At 36.6% G+C, this 25,922-nt stretch overlaps 1 protein-coding gene across 18 annotated transcripts in view, besides 1 other annotated feature; it reads right to left on the reverse strand.

The window, feature by feature from the left end:
• The window catches only part of DCDC1 (doublecortin domain containing 1), a 506,137-nt gene that overhangs the window by 106,827 nt on the left and 373,388 nt on the right, over window positions 1-25,922 (reverse strand). For 2 of the 18 annotated variants that reach the window (NM_020869.4, NM_001387275.1), the window contains exon 1: window positions 22,030-22,096. The exons of the other annotated variants lie outside the window; for them this stretch is intronic. The gene's annotated coding sequence lies outside the window, so the exon portion shown is untranslated. Of the gene's footprint in view, window positions 1-22,029; window positions 22,097-25,922 lie in introns of those variants that run through there. 18 annotated transcript variants of the gene reach the window in all.
• Window positions 245-745: an enhancer, noted in NCBI's record as "H3K4me1 hESC enhancer chr11:30992221-30992721 (GRCh37/hg19 assembly coordinates)". NCBI's record gives its function as "activates a minimal SCP1, AML or CMV promoter by ChIP-STARR-seq in naive H9 embryonic stem cells {active_cell/tissue: H9 hESC(naive)}" and the evidence as "EXISTENCE:reporter gene assay evidence [ECO:0000049][PMID:30033119]".

Consider the following 25,922-nt stretch of genomic DNA (forward strand, 5'->3'; position numbering starts at 1 on the left):
GCTGCCACCAGGGCTGAAGTGCAAGCTGTAAGTTGTGACCCCACTGCTCCCACCAGCAAAACTATGTACATTTTCAAGCACCCCAAGGACAGACTCTGCCACTGCTGCTGGCAGTTGCCACCAAGGCCAAAGCATGAGCCATTGGCAGTGACTCCACCACCCCCAACAGAGGAACTGTCACACATTTGCTAATGCCCTGAGGACAAGCTACTCCACCTGCAGCCACCATCTGGGGCTAAAGTGTACACTCCCCAGCTGCCTGACTATGGTTTCTGCCAATGACAGCAATCCTGCCCTCCCCAGTAGCAGGGCCACAGCACAGCCACTGATCCTTCCCCCAACTCAACCTTTTCATCAGGGACCTGGGGATTACCCCATATCTGCCTACCACAGCCAGCATCTGCATGCACCATAGGGGACCTGAGGTCAAGTTGGCCCAGCCCAGCTCCTTATCCAGTGCCTAAGCATGCCATCTGGGGGCCTGGAGATTGCCCAGCACAGCACACCACCATTGGCACCTGAGCACTCCTTCCAGAGGCCTGAGGTTGGGCCCACCCAATCTGCCACTATCATCACAGCTGGTGCGCCCACACACACACAAAGTTCCACCTGGTATCCCCATCCCCAGCAAAATTTCACCACAACTAACAACTCCATCCTAATCCACTGAGGAAATCACAGACATTACTGACCCAACCAACACCGTAAATACATCTTCATGAAAAAGTCCTCATCTACAAAAGCTAATTCAAAAAATTGGATGAAGCAACTATTATGCCAGATATGCAGATATCAATAACATAAAGACACACACAAAAAAAAGAACAATCAAGAAAAGATCACATCTCCAAAAGAACAAAAGAACACAATAATTCTCCAGTAAGAGTCTAGTGAAAAATAAATTATGAAATGCCAGAGAAAGAATTCAAAATAATGATACTAAAGAAGCTCAGTGAGATACAAGAAAATACAGATAAACAATACAAAGAAATTAGGAAAATAATTCAAATATAAATGAGAAATTTATTAAAGAGATAGATATCATTACAAAAGAACCAAACAAATCCTAGGAATGAAATAATCCATTGAATGACATAAAAAAATACATTTGAGAGCTTCAACAAGAGTATGTCATGTAGAAGAAAGAATTTCTGAACTTAAAAACAGGCCTTTGTTTTTTTTTTTTTTTTTTTTTTTTGAGACGGAGTCTCACTCTGCCACCCAGGCTGGAGTGCAGTGGCGCGATCTTGGCTCACCGCAAGCTCTGCCTCCCGGGTTCACACCATTCTCCTGCCTCAGCTTCCCAAGTAGCTGGGACTACAGGTGCCCGCCACCACGCCCAGCTAATTTTTTGTATTTTTAGTAGAGACGGGGTTTCACTGTATTAGCCACGATGGTCTCGATCTCCTGACCTTGTGATCGGCCTGCCTCAGCCTCCCAAAGTGCTGGGATTACAGGCATGAGCCACTGCACCTGGCCAAAAACAGGCTTTTTGAAATAACCAATCAAACAAAAATTTTGAAAAGAAAAACAAAGTCTACATTACATATGGCACACCATAAAGTGATCAAATATTTGAATTTCCAGTGTCCCAGGAGGCAAATAGAAAACAAAAAGGATAGAAAACATATTGAATGAAATAATAACTGAAACCTTTCCAAGTCCAGCAAGAGATTTAGACATCCAAGTACAGGAAGCTCAGAGATCCTCAAATAGATGCAATTCAAAAAAGTCTTCTCCATTGCATATTATAGTATAACTGGCAAAGTCAATAACAGAGAAAATTCTAAACACAGCTAGAGAAAAGCATCTAGTCACTTATGAGGAAACCTCTAGCAGACTAACAGCAAGTTTCTTAGTAGAAACATTATAGGAGAGAATGAGATAATATATTCAAAATGCTGAAAGAAAAAAACTGTCACATGTTATATCCAGAAAAGTTACCCTTCATTAATGAAGGAGAAATAAAGTCTTTCTCAGAAAAGCAAAAACTGAGAAAATTTGTTATCACTAGACCAGCCCTACAAAAAATGCTTAAAATCCTACACTTGGAAACAAGAGGATGATATCTACCATCATGAAAACATACAAAAGTATAAAACCCACTGGTAGAGCAAACACATAAATAAGAAAGAGAAAAGACTAAAATGTTACCACTATAGAAAACCACCAAACCACAATGATAAAAATAAAAGATAAAGAAAGAAACAAGGCTATACCAAAAAAGAAAACAAAAAAAGAATTAATAAATTGACAAAAATAAGTCCTCACATCATAACATAACCTTGAATGTAAATAGATTAAACTTTCCATTTAAAAGATACAGACAAGCCAAATGGATTAAAAGAAAATGATCAAACACTATGTGGCTGATATGGTTTGGATCTGTGTCCCCACCCAAATCTCATGTTCAATTATAATCCCCAATGTTGGAGGTTGGTCCTGGTGGGAGGTGACTGAATCATAGGGGTAGTTTCTCATGGTTTAAAATCATCCCCCTGGTGCTGTCCTCTTGTTAAGAGTTCTCACAACATCTGCTTGTTTAAAAGTATGTAGCACCGGCCAGGCGTGGTGGCTTATGACCGTAATCCCAGCACTTTTGGGGGCTGAAGTGGGTGGATAACCTGAGGTCAGGAGTTCGAGACCAGCCTGGGCAACATGGCAAAACCCCATCTCTACTAAAAATACAAAATTTAGCCAGGCGTGATGGTGTGCACTTGTAATCCCATCTACTCATGAAGCTGAGGCAGGAGAATCACTTGAACCGGGGAGGTGGCAGTTAAAGAGTGAGCCAAGATGGCACCACTGCACTCCAACCTGGGTGACAGAGTGAGACTCCATCTCAAAAAAAAAAAAAAAAATGTAGCATCTCCCCCCTCTCTCTCTTCCTCCTGCTCTGGCCATGTGAAGTACTGGCTCCCTATTTGTCTTCCACTATGACTGTAAGTTTCCTGAGGCATCTCCAGAAGCCAAGCAGAAGCTGCCATGTTTCCTTTACAGCCTGTGGAACCATGGACTAATTAAACCTCTTTTCTTTACAGCAATGCGAGAACACATTAATACAGTGGCTTACAAGAAACTCACTTTATCTATAAAGACACATATAGTCTGAAAGTAAAGGAGTCGAAAAACAGATTCCCTGAAAATGAAAACCAAATGTGAGCAGGAGTAGCTACACTTAGATAAAACAGACGTTGGTTTAAAATAATAAAAAGAGACAAAGAAAGTCATTATATAATGATAAAGTGATCAATTCAGTAAGAGGATATAACAATTCTAAACATATATGCACCCAACACGGGTGCATGAACCAAATAATATTAAACATAAAGGGAGAAATAAACTGTAATACAGTAACAGTTGGATACATCAACATCCTACTCTCAACATAGACAGGTCATGTAGATAGAAAATTAAGAAAGAAACATTGGATTTAAACTGCATGTTAGACCAAATGGACTAAACACTTTTACAGGACACTTCATCCAATAGCTACAGAATACTCATTTTTTTCTCATCAGTACATGGAACATTCTCCAGGATAGACCATTTGTTAGGACACAAAACAAGTCCCAACATATTTTAAAAACCTGAAGTCATATCAAGTCTCTTCTCAGACCAAAAAAAAGATAAAACTAGAAGATAATAACAAGAGGAACTTTTGAAACTACAAATACATAGAAATTAAACATTCTCCTGAATGACCATTGGATCAAGGAAGAAATTAAGGAGAAATAAAAAAAGTTATTGAAAAAATGCAAACCAAAACGCAACACACCAAAGCCTGTCGGATACAGTAAAAGCAGTGCTAAGAGGGAAATTTATGGCAATAAACAGCTGCATCAAAAAAAAAAAAAAGAAAGATTTCAAACAATCTAACAAAGCACCTCAAGGGACTACAAAAGCAAGAAAAAAATCCCAAAATTAGTAGAAGGAAAGAAATAATATCAGAGCAGAAATAAATGAAATACACACATAAAGGATAATAAGAAGGATCGACAAAAAGTTGGTTTTTCAAAAAAATGCAATGAACTGTTAGCTAGAATCATCAAGAAAAAAAGAGAGAAGACCCAAATAAACCCAGAAATGAAAATGGAGACATTACAACTAATACCACAGAAAACAAAAGCTCATCAGAGACTATTATGAATAACTATACATTCGCAAACTGGAAAACCTAGAGGGAATGGGTAAATTCCTGGACACATACAACCTACCAAGATTAAATCAGGAAGAAACAGAAGACCTGAACAAACCAATAAGAAGTAATGAGTTTCAATCAGTAACAAAAAGTCTTCCGCAAAGAAAAGTCCAGGACCTGATGGCTTCACTGCCAAATTCTACCAAACTTACAAAGAAGAATTTACCAGCTCTCTTCAAACTATTCTAAACTATTCCCCATAAAAAATAAAGACTATGGAACTCTCTCTAGCTCATTCTATAAGGCCAGTGTTACCTTAATACCAAAACCAGACAAGGATGCAACAACAAAAAGAAAAATACAAGCCAATATCCTTGATGAATTTAGATGTAAAAATTTTCAACAAAATACTAGCAAACTGAATCCAACAGTACATTAAAAAGATAACACACCACAATCACGTGGGATTTATTTCAGGGATTCAAGGATGGTTCAACATGCACAAATCAATAAATTTGATAAAATACATCAAGAGAATGAGGTACAAAAACTGTAAGATTATCTCAATAGACACAGAAAAAGCATTTGATAAAATTTAACATTTCTTCATGATAAAAACTATCAACAAACTAGACACTGAGAGAACATACCTCAACATAATAAAGGCAACATATGACAAACCCACAGCTAACATACTGAATGGGGAAAAGCTAAAAACATTACCTCTAAGAACTGGAGCAAGACAAGGATACCCCACTCTCACCATTCTTATTCAACATAGTACTGGAAGTCCTAGCCAGAGCAATCAGGCAAAAGAAAAAAATAAAAGGCATCCAAATTGGAAAAGAGGATGTCAAACTGTCCCTCTTTGCAGATAATATAATCTTATAGCTATAAAAAAAACACTAAAGATTCCATGAAAACAAACCTCTGAGATAATCAATAAATTTACAGGACACAAAATTAACATACAATAATTGGTAGTATTTCTATATACCAAACGTGAACTAGCTGAGAAAGAAATCGAGGCTCATTTATAATAGCTACAAAGTAATAAAATAAAATACCTAGCAATAGATTTAACCAAAGTGAAAGACTTCTACAAGGAAAACAACAATACACTGATGAAAGAAAATGAAGGGGACACAAACAAATGGAAAGACATTCCATGTTCAGGGATGAGAAGAACTAATATCATTAAAATTACCATACAGCCAAAAGCAATCTACAGATTCAATACAATCCCTATCAAAGTGCCAATGTCATTTTTTACAGAAATAGAAAAAAAATTCTAAAATTCATATGGAAACAAAAAAGACTCCAAATAACCAAAGCAATCCCAAGCAAAAGAACAAAGCTGGAGGCATCATGCTACCTGACTTCAAAATATATTACAAGGCTACAGTGACAAAAATAACATGGAATTGGTATAAAAACAGACAAATGGACCAATGAAGCAGAAAGGAGAACCTAAAAATAAATCCACATATTTACAGCCAACAGATTCTTGACAAAGATGCTAAGAACAAACATTGGTGAAAAGACACCCTATTCAATAATCAGTTTTGGGAAAATTGGATCTCCATATGCAGAAGAATGAAATTAGACAAAAATCAACTCAAGATGAATTGAAAACTTAAACCTAAGACCCGAAACTATAAAACTAGAAGAAAACAAAAAGCACTTCAAAACTTTGTTCTGTCTATGGATATTATGGCTAAAACCCCAAAAGCACAGGTAGCAAAGTCAAAAATACACAAATAGACTATATTAAACTAAAAAGCTTCTGCACAGCAAAGTAAACAATCAACAAAGTAAAAAGAGTATCTGTTGAATGGGAGAAAATATTTGCAAACTATTTGTCTGACAAGGGGCTGATATCCAGAATATACAAGGAACTTAGACAATTCAACAGTAAAAAGACAAATAATTCCATGAAAAAGTGGGCAAAGAATGTGAATAGACTTAAAAAAAAAAAGACATACAGATGGCCAACAGGCATTTGAAAAAATACTCAACATCACTAATCGTCAGAGAAATGCAAATCAAAACTACAATGAGATATCATCTCACCCCAGTTAGAATGGCTATTATTAAAAAGACAAAAAATAACAGATGCTGGCAAGGATGTAGAGAAAAGAAACTCTTATACACTGTTGGTGGGAATGTAAATTAGTACAGCCATTAGGGAAAACAGTATGGAGATTTCTCAAAAAAGCTAAAAATAGAACTACCATACAATCTAGCCATCCCACTACTGGGCATTTATCCAAAGGAAAAGAAATCAGTATATCAAAAGGATACCTACACTCCTGTCTTTATTGCAGCATTATTCACAGTAGCAAGCTATGGAATCAACCTAAGCTTCCATCAGTGGACAAATCGACAAAGAAAATGTGGAGTATATATAAAATGGAATATTATTTAGCCATAAAAAATGAAATCATGTCATTTGCAGCAACATAGATGAAACTAGAGGTCATTATGATAAGTGGAATAAGCCAGGAACAGAAAGACAAATATCACACATTCTCACTCATATGTGAGAGCTAAAAATGTTGATTTCATGAAGGTAGAGAGCAGAATGATACCAGAGACTGGAAAAGGTGTGTGGTTGGGGATTGTGGGGGATGAACAGAGCTTTCTTAATGGATACAAACATATAGTTAGAAGGAATAAGTTCTAATGTTTGATAGCAGAGTAGGGTAACTATAGTTAGCAACAATGTATTGTGCATTTGAAAATAGCTAGAAGAAAGGACTTGAAAAGTTCCCAACACATAGAAACGGTAAATACTCAATGGGACACCCCAAACACTCTGACTTGATCATTACACATTCATGCTTGTAATAAAATCACATGTACTTCATAAATATGTACAAATATTACGTAGCAATAAAAATTAGTTTATACAAAATACCATAGTTTGCTTAACTAAATCCTTATTATTAAATATGTTTCTTCTAGTTTTTAAAATTATATAAAATATTTAATGAATATATTTGTTCATAAAGCATTTTCCTCTTTCAATATGTAGGATTACTACCTTAGGCTAGACATTTAGAAAGGTTATTGCTGGCCAGGCATGGTGGCTCGCACCTGTAATCCCAGCATTTTGGGAGGCCAAGGTGGGCAGATTGCCTGAGCTCAGGTGTTCGAGACCAGCAGGGGCAATATAGTGAAACCCCATCTCTACAAAAAAATACAAAAACCAGCCGGGCATTGTGGCTTGCCTGTATTCCCAGCTACTCGTGGGTGCTGAGGTGGGAGGATGACTTGAGCCCAGGAGGTCAAGGCTGAAATGAGCCAAGATTGTGCCACTGCACTCCACCTTGGGTGACAGACCGAGACCCTGTTTCCTAAAAAAACCAAACAGTAAGAAATGTAATTGCTAAGTCAAAGAATATTAGCACTTAAAGTGATTGATGTATATTGCCATATTGTTCTCTAAAGGAGTGGTGCTAATTAGAATTCTTTTTCTGTACAACAAGTCAGTAGGCCAATACCTACAGATTTGACCATAATGTTTAAAATTACTTAACTCTGACTCGGGAAGTGATAAAAATAGAAAGAAGTTCTCTAAAAGTTATGTGGCTATCCACGCCAATTGTAGGTGACTTACCTATTCTCACACGAATCTGAAGACTTAATGTGACCTCAGACCTGTCTGGATTAGGTGCTTCTGTACATTGGATGGTTTTAACTTGCACCACTTATGTCTTAACCAACAACTGATTAATTTCTGTTCCCCTTACTACACTACAAGTTCTGCAAGGACAGAGATCCTGACCATCTTGCACATGGTTATATCCACAAAGTCTAGCACAATATCTGAAACATAATAAATACATAATAGATAAGAAGATACTGAAGTAAAGTTTCTCTTTTTATTGATATGTAATATTTGTACATCTTTTTTATTGATACATAATATTTGTACATATTTATGGGGTAAATGTGATATTTTGTTCCATGCATAGAATGTGTAATGATCAAGTATGGCATTTAGGATATCCATTACCTCAAGTGTTTATCATTTCTATGTGTTGATAACATTTCAAGTCTTCCTTTTAGCTGTTTTGAAATATACAACACCTTTTTGCTAACGATAGAAACCCTACAGTGCTATAGAACGTTAGAACTTATTCCTTCCATCTAACTCTACAAGTGCCATTAACCAAATTTCTTCATCCTCCCAGTCCCCCCTCAACACACACACACACACACACACACACACACACACACACACACACACACCCCCTTCTCAGCCTCTGGTATCTATCATTCTACTCCCTACCTCCAGGAGATCAACTCTTTTAGCTCCCATATATGGATAAGAATATGCAATGTCTGTCTTTCTGTGCCTGGTTTATATGTACATGTACATGTAGGGACTTGATTATGCCTGTATTTTAAAAGATCAAAAGGAATAATTTACTTTCAAATACAGAGATAGGAATTCTAATTTTAGAGCCTCCAAACTCTGAACTACATAACTGTGCCCATTAACCTCTACTCTCCTATTAATATAAGAAATTTGGAGAGGGAGGGACTTCAAGAAGGCTGACTAGAAGCATCTGGGATTCACTCCTCCACAAAGAATAACTAAAATAGCAAGTACATCATCACACTTCGAATAGATCATCTAAGAGAGAACATGAAACTCAACAAGAAACACTTAAGGCAAGAAAGGAGCAGGAAGTGAGGAAGCCTGCTTGCACTCTGCAAGTTACTGTGGAGGAACACCTATCTCTCAAGGGCCTAAATGCCAAATTACCTTCCAAATTAAATCATAATGAAAGTATTAAAATCAGGTAGGTATTTACTAGTTGCATAAATCTTGCATTTCTGAACAAACCTTTAAATACAGTGAAATACTGAGCCAGTACATGCCCAGGGAATGTCCCATGCATCTTATCTATGTTTTACTTCTCATTACAGTGACCAAGGGTGAGTAGGGAACACTTTCACTTACCAGCCTTCAGGTCTAGATGCTGTTTCTCTTGGATCTGAGAGGAATTATGGTTAATTTTTCACACTTATCATTTCTCAGTGAGGGAAATCAGGTCCAAGACTTGTCCAGCAAGTTAAAGGAAAAGCTTTACAGATGCCTACAGCCATACAAACCACATGGAAAAATAACCCATGTTTAGACATAAAGAGCCTTAAATGCCCAGAAAGTGACCTAGTTTGAACAGTAATTTTAATAGTTCAGTTCAAGTGTGACTGTCATAAAAGAAGTCACCCAATAAATATTCGTTGAGTAAAACTGTTAAAATCAGGATGTGAGATGATCTTCTCTCTGTTCTTTTACAGCAAAATTGGGACATTTTCTCTGAGAGGCAAGAAGCAATAGCAATTTCCCAAAGTTTCTGAGCCTCTCAAAAGGGTCATTTATATTTTCCTCTAACACTGTACTTTATACAAAGAAAACTCTTAATGAACACACATGCAAACAATCCTATATTTGTCACAGCTTGATATTGTGGACATCATAAAATTCAGTGTATAAGAAATGGTATCTATTTCTACTAGGCTGTAATCTACTAGAGTAGACTATAGGACTTTGTCCACTTTGTTTCAGTACATCCCCAGTGCCTAGCACAGCATCTGGCATATAACTCACACCAAATACATTTTGTAAAATGCAGAACAATACTAACTGCAGATCTATGTAGCCATGGCAACTTCCCTGGGCCTCCTGCTTCACTCAGTGGGCAATGAGTCCATGAAACCAAAGGGAGTGCCCATCTGACACCTGTGTGCCTTCTTTTCACTTCTAGACCATTCTCTGAGGCCTCAGACTTCTTTGGCCAAATAGCTCCATACTTGTTTTTAGAGACTGGAATACTAGTATACCAGTAGTATATCATGCTACTAGTGTACAACTCCTAGTACTGAAAGGTAGACAAGAGATAGCTCTGTCAGGCATGAAAGGGCAAATATTGGACATGGGGGATGGTGTGGCTGTGAATTTGGAAGCCCATTGTGGTGTTGGATAGAGTTGTGGCTGTGCAGAAATGGGGGTGGCCCATGGGCTTCCATTTTTGTTTTTTTCTCAACCCTGCAAATTTTAAGAGCAGTCTTATTTAAATAAATAGGTGGATCAATAAATGAATGAAAAGAATGCCTTTGACATAAACAAATAAAATATGCCAGTGAAAGAGAAATTAAGAGGTTTCCCCAGAGATTCTGATAATGATAAACTCTGTAAAACTGGATAGGGGCCTCTCCTAGAAGAACTAAAAATAGAACTACCATTTGACCCAGAAACCCCACTACTGTGCATCTGCCCAAAGGAAGAGAAATCACTATATCAAAAAGACACCTGCACTCATATGTTTATCACAGCACTGTTCACAATAGCAAAGTCATGGAATTAACTTAATTGTCAACAGATGATAATGTGGTATATATACACCACGAATACAACATAGCCATAAAAAAATAAAATTATGTCTTTTGCAGCAACGTGGATGGAGCTGGAGGTCATTAACCTAAGTGAAATAACTAAGAAACAGAAAATCAAATACCACATGTTCTTACTTGTAAGTGGGAGCTAAACAATGGGTACCATGGACCCACAGAGGGAAAGAATAGACACTGGGGACTCCAAAAGCGGAGAGGGTGGAAAGAGAGCGAGGGTTGAAAAATTACCTGTTGGGTACAATGTTCACCATTTGAGTGATGGGCACACTAGAACCCCAAATCTCACCACTATGCAATATATTCATATAACAAACCTGCACATGTACCCCATGAATTAAAATAAATTTTAAAAAGAATACCTACTTCATACAACTGCTATAAAGATTAAACAAATTATTATTTGTAAAGGAATAGAATGGCATCTGGCTCACAGTCAGCACTCTGGAAGGGCTGACTTCCAGAGTTAAATGTGATGTTATTGTTAAATAACATAAACGGTGTGTGATTATTCTTATTATATGCCAATTTATATTTAATCTCAAAAGCAGGCATAGTTTCTAAGTGTTAGTCAATTTAAATTTTAAGGGCTGTTCACCAAACTAACTACAAAGCCAGTAGATTTCAACCATCTCAAAATATTTCTTGTGTGTTGGCACTATTGGTTACTGTAATATTAATTCAATAGGAGTTTAGTAAGTCAGCAGGTGGAAAGGCTGTGTTTTAAATTTGTCTTCCCTAGCTAATAAAGATCTGTTCAACGTTTCAGTCATTTAAAATCTATGCTAAAGTTATAGAATAATAAGAAAGAACCTAATATCCATCTGGGCTGGAATGCTGCATGGATACCACACGCTGGGAACACCAAAGCAGCTGAGGCATAGGAGCCAAAAAGAGCCACCCAGAAGCAAAGATAAAGGGATTGGATAAGCCGTAAAAACAATCATACTACTGTGAAAAAAGGCTTTCAACCATCTTTTAGAGTGAAAATGTAATTGCTTATGCCTATTTTTATTTAAATAAATTTATTTTTTTCCTTGAGATAGCTAACCAAAATTCTTTATTTCAAATGGACATAAATTACATGTCTAAAAACTCATGCATGTTAAAGGTACACTAGAGGCAGCGCAAAGAATTTTTATGTTTCAGGTCTTACAAATAGTTTCTGACACTTGTCCCGCAAATTAGTATTGCTGTTGTTTTTCTTAAAGCACCTCTTGAGAACACGCTTCTCCACAACTTCTTCCAAGGTGAGTTAAAGTTACAAGCTACTGAACAAAAACCTTCCAATTTAACATTACAGCTTCAACGGATCTGTGAATATATTATCAACAGTGTCAGCAGCACAATGAAATTAAGTTAGTATACAGTATCTACCAAAACTTTCATAACATTGCTTCCTTTTTCATACAACTCAGACTGATTTGAAAGATAAGCATTTGTTTCAAAATTAATAGCAACACTCTTTTGTTTCATTTTATGTAGCATTAAAGACCAAAGGAGCCTTAGGAATTAATTGCAGGCTTCTAATAAACACAATGATGTAATGACGTATTTAACATTACTGTGTTTTGTTTGATTCCAAATAAATTGCAGATTTTTTTCTGGTGTGATACTAAAACAATTACCATTTGCAAAAAGGATAATTAATCTGCAATTTTTCACATTAGATCGTATATCTCTAAAGAGTGCCCACAGATTTGATAGTCTTCAGCTGCTGTGTATTTATTTTTCATTTTTTTCTACTGATGCACCGCCCCATCAGTGCTGACATTTAAATGAGTGAGTATTCAACACAAATGTGATCATTTGTACAGCATCCAATGCGGCCCCATACTGAGATGATTGCTTCTGGGAGCCATCCACGGGTTCTCAAATAGGGTGGAAAAGCCAGGCAAAATTTTATCAATTTACATTTTTCTGTGATTAATTTTTATGCAAATAAGGGCCCGACCGTGCTCCCATCTCACCTGAATCATCCGGATCATCAAAGACAAATTGAGCATCACTTATTTTAAAAATAGGCTTTAAACTACTCTACAGCTGTGTTGGAAAATGCTAAGAGTGGGGCATGAACTTCTCTAATATAACAGGAATAGATAAGAAAATGTCTTTTATGTGCATTTTGTACACAATGCCATAAACATGGAACTTAACAAAATAAAAAAAAAGGCTTTGCTTTGAATATTCTCTGGTCCTTGTAAATATTCAACAATGGGAATAACAGTGTATGAAGCAACATTTCCCCAATGAACACATAATCAGAAGTGTTTCCCATTGGGCAAAATACACCAACCATTACATGTCTTTGCTTACTTTTTATTGCTTCTGGATGAAAGTGCCTAATAAATGGAATTATACAGAGGAAACACAATATTGCGAAATGAAAAATCTTTGTGGTTAGGGGTTTATATTGTCAGAATTATGTTGCATAAAATTGACATAGCACTTTTAAGCCCATGCAGTCTAATTCTAAATTCATATAACTTTTACAAAAATAATAGAATTATCTGGTTCACATTTGCGATCCATTAAAATTACATAAATCATATTGGATTTTTTCAAATATCATTATTCAGATTTATGAAATACAAATAAAAGTGTTTTCCATGATATCTGAAATCAAGTTAACAATGCAATTTATATTTTTAAAAAATTGTCATAGCTTACAAATGCCACCTCAGCAGTGACTAAGTTCAATTTGCTATTTTCAAGGAAAGCTATATTTTTTCACATTATATCTTTAAAAAACGTGCTTAGAGTTTTGTGTACATTACTCAGTTATCAAAATCTTCCCAGATGTCTCTCTCCCTCACTCATGAAAATAATCACCAGAGCAGAAATAAATTGTTGACAATTCTCTGAGAATGGAAACAGACCACAGGGGGTAAAAATCTGGTTATCTAAATGGGCGATATAATCGAAGGTTCAGCTAAGCTAAGGGAATTTCAACATAAACAATGCTCTTATTCCCAAGACTGGGTTCTCCTTTATATACAATAGTGGAGGAATGCCAGTCCTTTCCTTACTGCTGTGAGAAAAGTGCTGGACAGGAACAAGATTAGAATCTTAAAAGCTGTCCTGGGGAGCAAAATTACTGTGCATCATACAGGTGAAGAGGTAAAAGGAGCAAAAATAAATGGAGTTTATTCCATGGTTTTTAGAGTTTATTTCACGAAGACAGAAATAAAGATATCTCAATCCATAGTTACTCCATGTGAGATGGCTGTGTGTGTGCGAGCGCAGGTGTGTGTTTGGGCACGTGTGTATACAGAACTGTGTCACTGGGCCTCCTCTCTCCCTCACCAACAAATATGCCACTCAGCACTATATTTCACACACAAGAAATCTTGTCTGTATTCTCACTGCCTCACTTCAAAAACAACCTTGGAAAAACAGGTTTTTCTCTCACAAAAATTCACTGATTTTAGTTTGGTAAGCAACTGATGAGAAATAGGAGAATAACCAGATTCACACAATTCTTGACACAACACACAAGGTCTGTCTAATCTGATCTCAGGGTGAGTCAGTTAGACCAGCCAGCACAGAAGGTCATCTGCTGTGATTGTATCAGAAGCAATTCCTATTGTTCATAACCTGGACATTTCATATCCTCAAACAAAGGTGGGCGTAACGTGACGTTCAATCCCCAAGGATTTGCAAACTCTACCCGTGACTTTAAGAAGCAGCTGTTTAGTTGAAAGCAGGTCAGCTGGTAAGCACAGAGCTGTTTTTTGAAAGTCCAGGATAGTTGCCAGTGTAATGTAAAAACCAGCCTGTCTCTCATAGAAGTAAATTGGCACCTCCCAAATGACAGGGGGAACCGCTTCCACATGTGCTGATACATTTGGAAACAACGGGAGAAGAGACTGGAGAAGGAGAAAACTGGGAATGGCACCTCACTAACTAAGGCAAGAAATACAGTTTTTCCTAAAAGGATGGGAGTCCAGGGCGGTTGGTGAGTTCCCAGGGTCTCAAAGTCCCCACATCTAACCTTGGCCACAATCTTTTCCACAGAGATCAGATGATTCCTTCATTTCTGAACAATTCTTTCCTTGTGAATCATCCCAAGAAAGGAGACACTGACTCCTTAATTTAAATAAAAAGCACAACTTTTCGATTCTGTTTCCCACACTTCAAGTCTTCAGTACAGGAAACAAAATCACAACACTTCTTGGCAATAATTGTGAATCTTAAAAGATTTTAAGGTAAGGAGCTTTAGAAGGGGAGTCAGAAATGAAAAAAGAAAGCTTCAGCATGATTTGACTATCATGTGTGAGCAGGTCCAGGAGAATGCAATCATTTCAGTTTCTGAACTTTAAAATTAAAATGCCTGTAAATTTCAATCCATCAAACAGAATGATTATCTCTCTTTTTATTATAGAACTAATGATAATCATGTTAAAACACTGCAGTATGTTGAAGTATGTGGGTTTCTTTTTTTATGTTTATGGTATGCCTATTTATAAGTTTTTAAAAATTAAGATATAATTCACATAAAGTAAAATGTGCAAATCTTAAATGTATAGTACAATGACATTTTAAAACATGTAGACATCTGAGTAAAAATATGACAGCAAACAGAAGATAGACTATTTTTATCACCTCACTTTACCCTTACTAAAAGTATATGAAATATTAAAAGTAAATGAGATAATAAACTATATGAGTTGCACTGAGGAAGGTGGGGCCCAGATAATCAAGGAATTTGCCACAGGTGAAGAGGCTTAGTTTCAAACACATGATCATCTGATTCCAAAGTCCACATCCTTCCCCCAAGCCACAGTGCTTCTATCAAGAGAGGACCATGAGAACATGGCAATCAACATTTATGGAAATAAATTCCAAAACTAAATTATGACAAATTTTTTTAATGAATAGTAAGACACTTTATGAAACAATATATTAAAATTGACATCCTGATATTCCTAACATTCAAAAAAGTGCCATTTTTTTGAGGGGGACAGAAATTAGTATTAGGCTCAGCAGCGTCTAGCAGAAAACTCACATGATGGTGGATTAAACATGATAGAGGTATGTTTTTCTGTAGTGTATAAATCCAGAGATTGGCAGCCCAAGATTGTTATGACATTTATTTAGTCATCAGAAACCCAAAGCATGTCTTCTTCTTTCTCTACTATTCTTACATCTTTTCCTTCCCTGTGGTTGCTTCATGGTCACAAATAATTGCTGCAGCTCCAGCCATCATGTTCACTCCCCAGACAGCAAGAAAAAAAAAAGGCAATAGTAAAAGATTTCCTGCCTAATACTTTGTTCAGTACCTTTCAAGTAGTTTACCCAAGGATTTTACATAATGACTTCCACATTTTTCTCTCTCTCTTTTTTTTTTTTTTTGAGATGGAGTCTCGCTCTGTCGCCAGGCTGGAGTGCAGTGGCATGACCCTGGCTCACTGTAAGCTCCGCCTCCTGGGTTCAAGTGATTCTCCTGCCTCAGCCTCCCAATTAGCTGGGACTACAGGCACACACCACCATGCCCAGCTAATTTTTGTATTTTTAGTAGAGACGGGGTTTCACCATGTTGGTCAGGATGGTCTCCATCTCGTGACCTTGTGATCCACCCACCTCGGCCTCCCAAAGTGCTGGGATTACAGGTGTGAGCCACCACACCCAGCCAATGACTTCTACTTTTTATATTAAAGCCAAATTATATCTGTACTGGAGACTGGGGTGTTAAGTATTTTGGCTAACCTGTTTCCACCCTTAATAATTAAAAAGAAAGAAAGAATGAAAATTTGTAGACAATCAGTAGTTTCTTTTCCAGAAACAGATAAAAAGCTTACAATTTAAGTACGTAGAGTAACAAATGTAGGAAATTCCAAATATAATAGAGTAAACAGTTCTGCTCATGACGTGAACTCATTGCACTAAACAATACCATCAAAGAGAATGGTATTCTTTCTGAAGTGACCTAGTGAAAATAACTCCTACTGTCCCTAAGAAAAATACAAAAAGAAACCGAAAAAGTAGAATGCCATTAGTTTTTGTTTGTTTGCTTGTTTATTTGTTTTTGTTTGTTTGAGATGGAATCTCAATCTGTTGCCCAGGCTGGAGTGCCGTAGCATAATCTAGGCTCACTGCAACCTCCACCTCCTGGGTTCAGGCGATTCTCCTGCCTCAGCCTCCCAAGTAGCTGGGACTACAGGCATGCATCATCACACCCAGCTAATTTTTGTATTTTTAGTAGAGGCAGGATTTCCCTATGTTGGCCAGGCTGGTCTCGTACTCCTGACCTCAAGTGATCTGCCTGCCTCAGCCTCCCAAAGTGCTGGGATTACAGACGTGAGCCACCGCACCCAGGCTATTTCTTTGTTTTTAAGGGAGAGAAAACCACAAATGAAACTGAGCCATTTGATAAACATTTCTTAATTATCTACAATGCCAGAAACTGTTCTGGGCACTTGGGATACAGACATGAACAAGACAAACATTTTTACTGTTATCATGGAGCTTATAATTAATAAACAAATAAAGAATATCTCAAAATAGCATCATCCAGAGTTAAAATAAGTCAACATGATAGAGATGGACTGTATGGCTAATTTTTATGGAGTCATCAGGAAAAACCTCTCTTATAGGGCTATATTTAAGCTGAGATTTGAATGACAAGAAAAAATGAGCCATATGAAGCTCATTTTAAGTATTTGGGGCCAGAGGAACAGCTGGTGGAAAGGCTCTAGATCAAGCTTGTCCAACCCATGGCCCATTGGCCACATGTAGCCTAGGATGCCTTTGAATGTGACCCAACACAAATTTGTAAACTTTCTTAAAACATTATAAGTTTTTTTGCATTTTTTTTTCTCATCAGCTATCAGCTATCATTAGTGTTAGTGTATTTTATGTGTGGCTCAAGACAATTCTTCTTCCTCCAGTGCAGCCCAGGGAAGCCAAAAAATTGGATGCCCCTGCTGTAGATAGAGAAAGGCTTAGTATGTTCTAGAAGCAGAAAGAAAGCTGGGAGGCTGGAGCAGTGTGGGGTGAGGGAAGCAGTTAGATACAGGAGATTAGGTCACAGAGGTGGGCAGAAGCCAGACTGTGGAGTGTTTTGCAAGCCAAGATAAGAAGTTCAGATTCTATTCTAAACATAATGAAGAGTACTAAGCAGGAGAGTGAAATTATCTGGTTTTCATTTAAAAATAATGACTCTGGCTGCTAGATGGAGAATAAATAGTAGAGAGCAAAAGTAGAAGCAGAAAGAGCAGTTAGGAACCAAATGCTGTAGAATGGATGATGGTGCCTGAGAGTACAGTTTAGTGAAAATCAAAATAAATGGACAAACTCAAGATGTAGGCATGGAAATAAATGAACAGATTCATCCATTGAACTTGGGGATAGAATAGGTATTGGGATGGGGCTAGTGAAGGAAAAAGAAAAGAGGGAAAATTCCCAGCTATTCAGCTTGAAAAAAAATGGGATGATGATGATGATAACTGGAGTAAGGAGTAAGTTTGGGAAAGGAAAATAAGCACTCTATTTGGTCACCTCTGTGACCTAATCTCCTAATCTGTATCTAACTGCTTCCCTCACCCCACTCTTCTCCAGCCTCCCAGCTTTCTTTCTGCTTCTAGAACATACTAAGCCTTTCTCTATCTACAGCAGGGGCATCCAATTTTTTGGCTCCCCTGGGCTGCATTGGAGGAAGAAGAATTGTCTTGAGCCACACATAAAATACACTAACACTAATGATAGCTGATAACTGATGAGAAAAAAAACGCAAAAAAATCTTATAATGTTTTAAGAAAGTTTACAAATTTGTGTTGGGTCACATTCAAAGGCATCGTAGGCTACATGTGGCCCATGGGCCATGGGTTGGACAAGCTTGATCTAGAGCCTTTCCACCAGCTGTTCCTCTGGCCCCAAATACTTCAAATGAGCTTCATATGGCTTCATATGGTTAGAAATTCCAGTAACACCTCCAGATGAAAGTGGCTGGCATGAAAATGGATCTATGAATCTGCAGAGGTTGAAACTGGAGCTACAGATTTGGGAATCACTGATATTTCTATGGCATTCCAATTCATGGGAGTAGATGAGATCATCCAGGAAGTGGAGAGGTAATATAGAAGTCAGAGAACACAGCCCTGGCATACGTGACATTTAGAGTTAGGACAAAATAAGAGGGGGGGCAGTAAAAGAGATTGAAAAGGAGTGTTCAGTGATGGAGAGAAATCAAGAGAAGAAAGTGTTTCACAAGTAGGAAGTAGTTAAATGAGGGGAATGCTTTGTAAGATCAAATAATATCAGAACAGAGAAACGACTTTTGTAAAGCCTGTTTACATAGTACAGAGGGAGAAGATATTTTTCAATATTTCATTTAATGTGAGTGAAACCATGTTCCAAAATCAAGATCATTTATATTCCTGAAGAACAAGACAATCCAAACAAACACAGACTGCTCTACTGACTCCCAGGTTGAATCTGAGAGCCCTATCATGGTCCTTGGGAATTTGGAAAAATAAAAACAAATCTGAGAATCTGTAGTCCTCTTTATCCTCACTCTCTAACACACAGAAATGCAACCATATTGCATCAAAATACAGACATTTAAAGTACATTTAACTAGGCTTTTTCTCTCTTCTGTGCTTTACACATTAGAAACCAGCATATTTGTGCTTTCTAAGATGGAGCACTACCAGGCAGAGTGAATTATTTCTGCTCAAATCCATTCAATAATGTATTTATAGAGTCGGAGAAAGCATCCTCTTTAAATAATATATAATATTGTGCATTCAAGATATTTCTCATACCTTTACCTAGGAAGCCATTTTTTAAAAGATGAATGCTGTGGGATGCCAAAAATAAAACCAATTTGTGGTTGTTCTTGTAAAAAGTTGAACTAGAAACCTCTCAGGCTACCAAAAGTTGCTGTGAATGACAGGAAGAGACAATCCAGGGAAGACTCGTGTCTTAATTTGGAGAGGTGAGCGGTGACTGGTCATGTGTGCAGGTGTGTGTGCATACGTGAGCCCAAAACACTTAGACTGGAAAGGTGAAGGATGGTGTATCTCTACTCGAGTCAGCCCCAAAACCTGCCAAGAAAGAAACCCTAAGATGGGAAGAAGACGCTTTTTCAAGAGACATTGTGAAAACAAAAGGCACAATCAGAGCTGCCTCAGAATCTAAGTGACAAAAGCAGCACAGAGTTGGGGTGTCAACTACAGTGGAACATATATATATATATGCAGTTGAGTTTGTGCATGCAAGGTAAAATGCATTTGGTACCTTAAGAGAGATACAAAAACATTCTTCTTATTCCTGTAAGATCTCATTTGAAGATATGCTCTCCCAGGAGCATAACCCAGAATCATCACTGTGGGGACTGAACAAAGCACGACACCTTATTGCATCTTGAGACATTTGTAGTGTTAGGGATGCACCGGAAGATGCTCCTAGGAGCAGCAAACCCATGTTGTTATGGAGGCACCCACAGGACAGGTAAGAACTTTCTTTATGAGTCGTGGGCTCTCAGCAAGGAAGCCACAGCCAAAAAATATAAGAGACAAGATGTGAAACACTGGAGACACTCAGAAATAACCAGGGAGACATAGGAAAGGTGATCTACAAGAGTGAAGGTGCTGCAGCTGTGCAGATGAAGCAATTAGGAAATGCAGCTATTTGTTAGGTGACCTTATTTTTACCTCGGGTAGTAAGGTCTGAAGACATTTAGTTTACACTAATAACAAAGCACGTGTGTTTTATAATACAATTCTATGTTTGTTTTTTTCTGATTAACTGTACTAGGCTATTTACACAGTGGAATTGTAGTTAAAGTTATTTAGTAAAGACGTGACATGAATAGACAGTTTCACTGACGCTAATCACGCAAGTGCAGTGAAGCACATTTATGTTCCAGTAAGTAACATGGGTGAGAACTTCCCATTCTTGTGACATTTTCCAGGCCAGTAGCCTTGAAATTATGCAATTCCAAAATAATTTTGGGGTGGGAAGCTTCCTGGTATCATACAGTCACATTTAAGTGAGAGTTACGAGGAAAAGCTGATGTGAGAAAGCTGTAATATTGCTGGCATAAAAATAGGTGCTGCCAGAGAGTGAGGCAACTGACAAACGGGTTTGCCAAGGGAGGGCTAAGGGACATCCCTGGTAACCATGAGGAGGCTGGCTTGAAACAGCAGGTGTTCAGCTGTAATGAGAACCCAAGACCTCAAGAGCAGACAGGAGAGAAGGCTATGAGAGCCTGCCTTAAGGAGGAGAGAGGCAGCATAGCTGGGAGTGAGTGTGACTCCAGAAATAGACTGTAATACTAGGTATACATTTATCAAAACATCAGAGTGTACACCTTAACCATATACCATAATAATAAATAAAAAGACAGAGACAAAGGGGTCCCATGCAAGGTCACCAGGCTTAGTTGGGTATTCCCAATCAGCAAAATGCCATGATTCTAATTGCCTAATTCTAAAAACTGAATTGTATTGGTGCTGAAAATTAGTAAGGCTCTTAAGTAACATAAAAGAAAACTCAGTGGCAACTGGATCGGACAGCTCAAATTGGGAAACTTTAAACTAGATGTTTATTTAGGGCATGCCATGCACCACCGACGTCACTAGGTTCTGTGGTTACTCTAAACGTAACTACACCAGGTGTACAAGCCTGCACATTTGATCTCTGCTGTCTCTTCCCTAATTTCTCTTGTCTTCTCCAGCTTGAAAAAATATATATACTTCTGGAATTATTCAGTAGGCATAACACCAAAATAAGTTTATTTATGAAAGATTTTACCAATAAACATACAAGTAAATTTTTTTAAGTAACATGGGTAGCAAATTGCATTCCTTCAGATAAACACTGGGAACATATAAGACAAAGAGAAAACAGCTTTCATAATATTTTTGGGAAAAGAATTTAAATGTACTGAAAATGAAGGATCAAAGTAAAACAAGGAGAAAGAATATCATATACTTCACCCACATATGTAATATTCATTCAACAAGCAGTGCTTGAGGCCTAGTATGTGCCATGCACTTCTGTGTTGTTGAGAAACCAAAAATGAAAATGGTACGCTCCCTGTCTTTCTAAGAGCAAATGTTACACAAATAAAGTACAATGTAAAATGCACTGTCTTAAGGTACCTTAAGAAAAACATAAATAAAATCATACTTCTTCCCATAAGGTCTCATTTGAGTGTATGTTAACTATAAATTGCTAACAAGTCATTTTAAAAGAAATGCTGTATTTTTCTCTTAACAGAAATGTATCAACATGTTAAACTACAGGTCTGAATCCTACTTTCCAAATAACAAGATCCTGAAATGGTGACCATGTAGCTGAGGGTTAACCCCTTGCAGTGAACAAATAATGACTGACAAACCAAGACAGGCTACTTAACAGGGTAAGCTCCCTGCGGCTGAATGAAAGATCTGACTTCCAAGGAGTTATTTAAACCCAGACCCAGTGAGGCAGTCCTGCCAAAGATAGATACCAACCTGACTTTTCATATTCAAGCTTTCCAGGCCAGGACTCCAAGCTAGGCTGCAGCAAGTTCTCAGAAAGAAATTGCCTTCCAAGTATTACCCCGTTATAGCTGGTGCCCCCACAACCTGGCTTTCTCCCATCACCATGGTGATTTGCTGAGTCATATCCTCAGCAGGTCTCAGAAGGTATACTGTAAAGATACATGGAGAGGCCATGATGGTACTGAGAGACACAAAGCTAAAGGAATAGTTAAATTTTCAACCACTATGTAAACTGAAGAAACAAAGTCCAAAGTCTAGACATCTGGTATAAGCTATTTGTAAGACAATGTGTAGTATTTCAGGAAAAGTTACTACTTCCTGACTGTCAATATTAGTCTTGATATTAAAAAATCTAAAATAAAAGTAGAGGAAATTTGTTTTTGTGTGTTATATTCTATGAAGAAGGTGGGTACTGAAGTCGATCCAACAAGTATATTGTACAGCTTGTGGTAAACTCAATGCACTTTGCATATTTCATAAGAGATTTGAGACCAACCAAGTTAATTTTGATTTTCAATCATAAATTAGGCTTAACTTTCCTAAATTTTAATATTTACTTAATTTAAAAAAGTAAAATGGCACTCCACATGAAAAAAAATTATATAAAAATTACTTTTCTAGCATATAGCAAATGTTGAAAACTTATGTTAAATCCTACTTCTTCAAAATACTATGTGTAATTTACTTCTAAATAACCCCTGGATCAAAGAGGAAGTGTCAAAATTTTTAAATATTCTGAAATAAAATACTTTTAATTTAAGTTAATGTAGCTTTTTATAAGCTAACTAAATGAAAGTGAAAATACAACATCAAAATTCAGAGATTGCCCGTGTTATAGCACTACTTTGAAGGAAATTAACAGCATTAAATTTTATATTACTAAAGAATAAAGATGTAAAATCTGTAATCTAAGCTTCTGCCTTAAGAAACTAGAGAAAGAGAAGCAAATTAAGCATCAAGCAAGCAAAAAGAAAGAAATAATAAAGGTTAGAGCATAGGTCAATGAAATTGAAAACCAATGAACAACAGAGAAAATCAATGAATGAAAAACTATTTCTAAAATTGATAAACCTCTAGCTAGACTGACATAGAGAAAAACAAGACAATAATAACTGATATCAGAAATGAAAAACAAGACATCACTAGATCAATCGCATACACAGTGAAAGTATAATAAGTGAATACTACCAACAACTCTATGCCCATATATATGACAAATTAAAATATAACAACTATTTGAAAGACAAGAACTACAAATCTCTTTCCAAGAAGAAATATGTAGTTTTAATAGGTGTATTCAAGACGTTACATTTGTAGTCAAAATTTTTCCAGAACAGAAAAGTACAGGCTCAAAGAAGTGTATTGTCAAGTTCTACCAAACAGTTAATAAAGAATAATACCAATGCTATATAGTTTATACCAGAACATAGAAGAGGAGAGAAAACTTCCCAACTCATTTTACGAGCCAGCATTATCCCAATATTAAACCCAGCTAAAGCTCTATCAAGAATAGAAAACTACAGATCAATATTCCTCATGGACATAGATACAAAAAGCTTCAGCAAAATATTACCAAATTAGATCCAGCAATATAAAAAAGGAATGAAACATCATACGACCAAGTGAGATTCATTATAACAATGCAAGATTGTTCAATATTTGAAAATCAATTAATGTAACATACCATACTTACCATAGACTAAATAGGAAAATCATGTAATGATCTCAATAGATGCAGAAAAATTATCCAACAAAATTCTAAATGCATTCGTAATAAAAATTTACAGCAAACCAGGAATAGAATGAAACTTTTTTACCCATTTTTTTCTTTCCGGAGACTCACTCAGTAACCCAGTGCAGTGGCACAATCTCCACTCACTGCAACCTCTGCCTCCCAGGTTCAAGTATTTCTCATGCCTCAGCCTCCCAAGTAGTTGAAACTACAGGTACCCACGACCATGCCAGGCTAACTTTTGTATTTTTAGCAGAGATGGAGTTTCACCATGTTGCCCAGGCTGGTCTTGATCTCCTGACCTCAAGTTATATATATATATATGTATATGTATATATGCCCTTTGTAAGGGTAAAAACGTCTAGGTGGGGTGGCTCACACCTGTAATTTATCTATATATATAAATTATTTATATATTTATTATAATATATAACATATTATTATATAATATATAATATATAACATATTATTGTTATAATATATAACATATAGTATATGTTATAATATATTATATATTTATTTAATAAATATATAATATATTTGTTTATTATAATATTTATTATAATAAATATATATGTATACCCTACAGCTGACATCATACTCAATGGTGAGAGACTGAATGTTTCCCCCTAAAATCAAGAGTAAGACAAAGATTTCATTTCTTACTACTGCTATTAATCATGGTCCCAGAAATCCTTGGCAATACACTAAGGGGAGGAATAAAAAGAAGAAATGAAAGGCATACAGGCTGGGAAGAAAGAAATATAAGAGTCCTGATTCACAGACAATATGATTATCTTTAAAAAAAAGTGCAATAAAAATCCTAGAGTTAGTAAGAAGGTTTAACAAGGTTGTGAGCTACAAGATCAATGTATTTCTATATACCCGCAATGAAAGAAATAAAATTTGAAACTAAATCTCAAAACATCACATTTACATTTACACAAAATATTAAGATAAAGCACTTAGGTATAAGTCTTTTTAAAATGTGTGCAGTATCTACGTGGTAAAAACTACAAACACTGATTTAAAAATCAAAGATCTAAATAAATAAATACACCATATTCATGAACTGGAAAACTTAATATCATTAAGATATTAATGACAATTATTTCCAATTTGATCTATAGATTCAATGTAATTCCAATAAAAATCCCAGCAAACTCTTTTGTAGATTTCGACAAGCTGGTTCTAAAAGTTATATGGAGGGTCAAAAGCAATTAGAATTGCCAAGTAATTCTGAAAAAGAACAATGGTAGAAGACTCACACTACCCAATTCCAGGTCTTGCTATGGAGTTACATGATCAACGTAGTGTGGTATTAGTGCAAGGATAGAAATAAAAATCAATGGAGCAAAAGAGAGAGCCCAGAAATAGGCCCACAGAAACATAGTCAACTGACTTTTGACATAGGTAGAAAAGCAACTAATTGAGAAAGAATTGTCTTTCAGCAAATAGTGCTGAACCAAGTGGATGTCTCTATGAAGCAAAACAAAAAATAAGACAAAAACCAAAAAGAACCTTGATAAATACCTCATACCTTATACAAAAAAAGTAAACCAAAATGGATCACAGACTTAATGGCAAAATATAAAACTCTTAAAACATCTAGAAAATAATAGGAGTTTGGCCATGAGATTTTAGATACATCCCCAAAGGCACAATCAGCACGATCATCCATAAAGAAACAAAATTTAAATTAGACGTTATCAAAATTAAAAACGTTTGCTCTGTGTAAGCACTTAAGAAAATGAAAGAGAAGACACAGACTAGGAAAAAATATTTGTAAATCATGTATCTGATAAATGACTTGTCTCCACTATGTATAATGAACTCTAAAATTCAGCAATAAGAAACAACCCAATTTTAAAAAGGGCAAATGATCTGAACAGACCCATCACCGAAAGAAGATAGACAGATGGCACAAAGCACAGGAAAAGAGGTATAACATCATTAGTCATTAGTAAATTGAAAATTAAAACCATAATGAACGATCACCACACATCTATTAGAATGGCAAAGAGAAAGCAAAATGAAACAAAAACAAACCCCAAACCCTGCTGATACCAAGGGCTATAGAGGATGCAGAGCAACAGGAGCTTTCATTCATTTTTGATGAGAATATAAAATG

The sequence above is a fragment of the Homo sapiens genome, chromosome 11 (assembly GCF_000001405.40).
Source record: "Homo sapiens chromosome 11, GRCh38.p14 Primary Assembly".
NCBI classification, from domain to species: Eukaryota; Metazoa; Chordata; class Mammalia; order Primates; family Hominidae; genus Homo; species Homo sapiens.